Source organism: Homo sapiens, chromosome 12 (assembly GCF_000001405.40).
Source record: "Homo sapiens chromosome 12, GRCh38.p14 Primary Assembly".
Classification (NCBI taxonomy): domain Eukaryota; kingdom Metazoa; phylum Chordata; class Mammalia; order Primates; family Hominidae; genus Homo; species Homo sapiens.
In genome coordinates, this window is record NC_000012.12 from 97,635,498 (window position 1) to 97,642,189 (window position 6,692).

The 6,692-nt window shown below is 39.9% G+C and overlaps 1 annotated feature.

Annotated features, from left to right (window-relative positions):
- Window positions 4,195-4,706: an enhancer, noted in NCBI's record as "NANOG hESC enhancer chr12:98033470-98033981 (GRCh37/hg19 assembly coordinates)". NCBI's record gives its function as "activates a minimal SCP1, AML or CMV promoter by ChIP-STARR-seq in primed H9 embryonic stem cells {active_cell/tissue: H9 hESC(primed)}" and the evidence as "EXISTENCE:reporter gene assay evidence [ECO:0000049][PMID:30033119]".

The following is a 6,692-nucleotide window of genomic DNA, read 5'->3' on the forward strand; positions in this document are numbered from 1 at the left end:
TCCATCCATCCATCCTTTCATCTGTTCATCCATTCTTCCATCTATTTATCTATCCATCCATTCATCTACATATCCATCCATCTATCCATCTGTCTGTCCATCTGCCCCTTCTTCCATTCATCCATCCATTGATCCATTCATTCATCTGTTCCTCCATTCTTCCATCTATTCATCTATCCATCCATTTATCTACATATCCATCCATCCATCCATCCATCCATCCATCCATCCATTACTCAATAAATATCTATTGAATGTCTCCCATGGGCCAGGCACTGTGCTAAGTGCTGAGGTTATCACAGTTGGCTCATTCACCTGTTCACATATTCCTTCCAGGGCCTGGTACATAGTAAACATTCAGGAGACAGTACAGTGTAGTGATGAAAAGCATGGCAAGTCCTGCACAAGTTGCTGAAAACTTAAACCTAATTTTCCTCAACTGTTACAATAGTACCTACCCCTAATGTTTACTGTAAAAATAAAAGTGAGATACTCATATAAAGCACTTAGCAAGGTACCTGAGATCCAGTAAGTGCTATATAAATGACAGCTATAATCATAATAAAGCAACTACTTAGGTTTACATTCCTAGACATAGGAGATTGTCCTGTCACAATGGATAGAGGGAGCTCATCCTTTCTTTTTCTCTTTTCTCTCATTCCTCCCCCTCTTGCCTCCCATCGCCAGTGCCCTGATGATTACAGACATATACAGCAGCATCTTCTGGGACCCTCTTACCCCAAAACTCAGCTGGGGTACAGAATTTACCATGATCTCTGCCAGGCCCTCCAGGTACCAGATGTCCTCTGTCCGATACTAAGCAACTTTGTACCCTTTCTATTCTCACATGAAAGAATTACAGTGTCCCAGCGGGCAAAACTCATATCCAAGCACAAAACACTTCATTTTAGAAGCAATACTGAAACTGTCTGGCTATGAACAATGTCCTTTGTCCCAGGATTAGTGTTTCTTTTTCATAACTGCTGATCAAATTAAGACTACCATGTGAGAAAGTAGAGGATAACAGAAAAAAGACGACAAAGCACAGAGAATTCTTTTCGCCTCCTTACACGGCCAACTGCATAAGGCTAGAAGCTAAAGTAAAATTGAAAGAAAAGAGAAAGAAAGACCAAACTGATTAGGTGCTGGTATGCAGTTTAGAAAACCTGTTTAACTGAAGTTTTAAAAAAGTGCTGGGGTGGTTCCTGCTACTGAATTTGAAAATTTATCTTCTCAAATAAAATTTGCTTTGTCACTCTGCTGCCCTCTGTCCTGTCTCCAAGTCACCCTAATGCTGGGTCAGTAGTCAGAAATGTGCCTCCTATTTCCATGTCCAGAGTCAGTGTGATGCTCAGCTAGTGACAGTCGCAGTTCCAGGGCCATTAGGAAGAATCTTAACCCAAAACATGGGCTTTTGTTCAACTACAACTCGGTTTATTTCAGATTCATCCATTTTGAGTTGCGTGGCTTTGGCCAGTGTTGAACTCTGAGCATGTTTCACCATCTGTAGAATGAGTATAATACCTACCTCACAATGTAATTATGAGGATTCCGTAAGATACAGTATATTAATTGCCCTGCACATAGTAGGTGCTCCACAAATAATCCTTCCTTTCTCCTTGATGCCTGAGGCATGTTACTTTTGTTTTTGTTTTGATTCCTGTTAAAATGCAAATATCCATAAAAAGGGTAACTTTTTTTTTCTAGCTGTTAGCAGTCATTTGCTCCTGAATAGATTTCAGATTATTTTTTTCCTGAATAAGCACAGGCCTTTATAGAGAAGGTGAAAGGGCAAATGGAATGCATGGGATCCCTGGAGAAGGTAACTCCTGAGTGTGGAAGAATTACAGAATCAGGAGAGTTGGAGTTTTACGACATCATACCTCCTTTAAAAGCTCATCAATATCTGATCCCTTCCTTCCTTCCTTCCTTCTTCTTTTCATTCTTTCTCTTTTCCAATTTTGATGTTGCAAATGATGGTGGTAGTATTGTCCAAAGAAATTCATGAGAAGTCCAAAAAAGTGATCCGTTTCTTAAACACAGAATTAAAAGTGTCCTGGGATTACAAGTAGCTGTGGACAGAGCCATAGCTTACTACCTTGGGTATTTTTTGTATCTCAACTCTTTGAGCAATTTTCAAGTGCTAAAGAAAGAAACATACATAAACACACATGTGCACACGACACAATGTGTGGCTTCATTTATTGACTTATTATATACCAGGTACTAAGTATCTTATGCACATTATAGTTTAATTCTTCAAATTCATGTATAAATTGAGTTTACTTCAATTAAAATTTTCAGAAACTGAATTCAAACAACCCAATACAAAAAAGGAGAATTTATTGACATATGGAACCCACAACTCCAGAGACGCAGCAGGATCCAGGGACTTAACTCTATCTCCCTCAATCTCCTTTTGTTTTTCTCTGTTAGGTTCACGCTTCAGCAGGCTCTTTGCAAGGTTTCCAGCAGCTTCAGGTCTAATTCCTATACGCTTAGTAACTCCAGCTCCCAGAGATCATCTTTCCCAATAATTTCCTAAAACATCTTTAGTAGGACTCTCATTGTCCCACCCTGTGTCACATACAGGACTTTGAAACAGATCCATGGCCAAGGGGTTAGAATGCTCTGATTGTCCAGTTGTGTAACAGATGTTTCTTCCCAGGAGCCAGAGGTGGGGTTATCCCCCAGAACCTTATGCCTTGAGAGTAGAAAGTGTGTCCTTCCAAAGATAATTAAAGAGCTGATACCAAAAGAGTGGAAATGGTGCCCAAGCTGGTGAAAACAAGAGATGACCGCTGCAAAATTCTAAGAGGTAGATATTATTGTCTTGTTTTATAAATGAAGAAACTGAGGGTTAAAGAGCTTAAGTGATCTACTCAGAATCACAGAGCTGACAAATTACAGAGCCAGGACCTGAGCTGACATCTTTGCCAATTTCAAGGTTCCCACTTTTATCCAGTGCTATGCCACACAAACTAGAACTTGACACTGCATGAAGCAGGCATCCTGGTGAAGTGTTAGAAGAAGGTCTTTAGACTGAGAAAATTCATTTTTGTTTCTTTTTAAAGACAGTCTGAAATGAATGTCTCTCTGTCTCATTTCTTCCTTCTGAACAGATAATGTCTCTTCCTATCTTGACAGGCAAAGCCTGGATGCAAATAAATTCTTATTAGTAAATTTGGGGTATATTTATCGCTTCCAGCTTTTTTTATTTTTATTTTTAAAGAAGTGAGAAATTCTTCTCAGCAATGTCAGCTCTGTTAAACTGAAAAGTCTGGAAACCTGAGTGTGGCAGCCAGGAGTCCGTGGTGGGGATAGATTTTTTTTTTTTTTTCAAATTCATTTCTACATTTGTGTTAAGGTCAGTGTATTCACTTCACAGTAGGGAAGGATGAATTTTGACATTTTTATAAGGGTGATTGGTTTGTGTCCATTTGTGAGACTCTACATGGCAAGAGGCCATGGCTAATGGAAGAGGGGAGAAAAACAAAACAAAACAAAACAAAAACCTATTTTTGTCAGAAGGCTGCCTATCACCATTTTGGAAGGAGCCCAGAAATATTAAACATGGGTACAGATCTGAGAAGAAGATAGAGACTGTTTGACACACATCAATTAAAGTACAAAGCGGGAAGCTATTGACGGGAATTTTATTTGAATTATGCATCCTGGCAGCCCTGAAAAAGTTACCCATCTCCCCCAAATTTCCTACCACTTACTGATTAACCTTCTGTGTTACTGGTGAGGAAGCATTACAGAGGGGTGAAATTCACAAAAAGGCAGCATGCTGGACCCTCCTCCTGGAACTCTCTTGCCTGTACATTATAGTCTTCATTTGAAGCTCAATTCAAATGAACCATCCTTAGGAAGGTGAGAGGTTTTGTAAGTCCCTACACTAATACTATAAGTTCTGCCCTTTGGCCTCCACGTAAGGATAATCAAAGAACCTATAAATTCTTACTTTGTGACTTCCTGGCTAAACTCTAAGTTTGATGATACTCAGGGACAGGTGTATCTGCTTATCACTCACTACATCACATGTGCTGAGCACAGGATGTGAGATTTATAGTAGGCACTTTCAAATATTTATTGAATGAATGCATGAGTGAATGAATGAATGAATGAATGGCTTTTTAATCATTTCAATGTCTGCCTTTTGAGTTGTGGCATAAACACTGATTCCTTTCTTTCTTTTCAAGGATGAGCGAGGCTTCATTTAAATTGTTATGCTTACAGATTAGTGATAGAGAACCATATCACTAATTTGATAACAGGGAAGCAATTTCCTTTAAAAACAGAATAGTGTTCCTTGGTGATCCACCACATTTTTCTGTGATGACATCATTGACTGTTTAACCACAGGGAAGCTTTCCTGTGAACTCCAGGACTGCTAACTTCTATAAATTCCTGTGCATCAGGCTTTGTTTTAGAAGGTGGAAGACCTTTGTATGAATGTCAACAATGGCTATCCCAACATCATCAAGCTGAGCACTCTAATGACAGTGATTTCAGGTTTGAGCATTCTGTGACTCCACTGATATTTCCATGGGACCTAGAGATGGAAATCACATGTTCCATTGGCTCCACAGGCAGTTCTTGGAGTCAACACATTGCATTTCTCAGGGATTCACTAGGATCAAGTGAGCCTAGAAGGGTAACATCTAATACTGCGCTTTCTGTTTGGGGCTTTCACTTGCATACCATTATACAGGGACACAATTATTAACTTATGGCTATTCCCAGCTTGGCCCTCTGCAACTCTTTCCCACAAAGTCAGTACTGACTTGTGGGATCAGCTTTTCCCCTCTTCCATTCTAATAATTCCCAGAGGGGTTCCTTAAGTTTCTATATTGCACAGTCTGAAACATAGAGCGAAATCTGGGAAGTGTTTATGGCTTTAAAAAGGGGCTAAATCAAAGTGTACTCCTCAGAGGAATTGATATTGAGGGACAAAGAGTGTGATGTGTAGAAAGCACCTTCCTGCTTTCTCACATGCCTTACGGTGTGGAATGGAAGTACAAAGAGAGATGAAATATGCAATGAGGAAATGAATGGGACATTCCTGGAAATGACAAGATACTGAAAAAGTAGATGATGATTAGAGTCGCTAGTAACAGTTTCCATGAGTTATGTACAGCAGTGTGTTTTATGCTTTTCAAGAGACATAGGATATTTGGAAATTCTGTTTAGAATGTGTTACTTCGCTTGGGGTGCTGCAGGTAGGGAATTCACCCGTAATCCGAGATGACAGTGGGATCTACATTGACAACATCCTGTCTGTGCACCCTCTCTCACTCCTCCTTATGAATAAATAACTTGCAAACCACATCTTGTGATATAAGATCAGGCTGCTGCTGACTAGCCAAGGGGTCTCCATCTGACTTGGGCCCTAGGAGGTACACTGGGAAGTCCATGGTTCTTGTTCTTTTTTTCTTCGTTTTTTTTTTTTTTTTCAGGCAGAGTCTTGCTCTGTCACCCAAGCTAGAGTTCAGTGGCATGATCTTGACTCACTGCAACCTCTGCCTCGCAGGTTTAAGTAATTCTCCTGCCTCAGCCTCCTGAGTAGTTGGGATTACAGGCGCCTGCCACCATGCCTGGTTAAATTTTTTTTTTTGTGTGTGTGTGTTTTTGGTAGAGAAGGGGTTTCACCACCTTGGCCAGGCTAGTCTCAAACTCCTGACCTCGTGATCCACCCGCCTTGGCAGGGTTCTCGTTCTTAAAGGCTGCTTCATAGGAACCTCATGGACTTGCCTCAATAACCCTGTACTTCTCCACCCCAAATCATCACTTAGAATGAAGTGTGTTTCCAGTCTAGTGTACAGCATGTCTTGTGCCCTTTCCTAAATGTTTCCATTCCAAAATTCAGACGATAGTTAATTTGCACATATATTCTTTACAGGTCTCACCTCACTCCTGTCTTTTTTTTAAAAAAAGACAAAATATTATTTATTTAATAGACAAATAAATATTATGTGTATTTCAGTGCACAATATGATGATTTTATGTATGCTTTATGGAATGGTTAAATGAAGTAATTAACATATGCATTACCTCACTTTTTTGTGTGTGTGGCAAGAATACTTAAACTCTACTGTCTTAGCAATTTTCAAGTATACAATATGTTGTTATTAAGAATAGTCACCATGTGGTACAATAGATCTCTCGGACTTATTCCTCCTACTTAAATGAAATGTTGTATCTTTGATCAATATCTCCCCAACACCCCCTCCCCCAGTCCCTGGTAACCACCACTCTACTCTCTGTTTCTGTGAGTTCATCTTTTCTAGATTCCACAACTGAGTGAGATCACAGAGGTTTTCTTCTGTGATTGGCTAGTTTACTTAGCTTAATGTCTTCCAGTTCATCTGTGTTGTTGTAAATAGCAGGTTTCCTTTTTTAAAAAAGCTGAATAGTATTCCATTGTGTATGTGTACCACGTTTTTTCCATTGAGCCATTAATGGATACCCAAGTTGATTCCATCTCTTGGCTAATGTGAATAATGCCACAACGAACATGGAAGCCCCACTCCTGTCTTCTTCAATGGCACAGCTCTTCCTCCTTTCCCAAATTCTGTTCATTTTCTCCTTCCCTTTTCACCTATAAGCATGGAATCTACCATTCCTTGTCTTTCCCAGGAGCCCTGCCTAAGGCAAAGAAGAGCAAATCAGCAGAGAAGCTTCCCTTT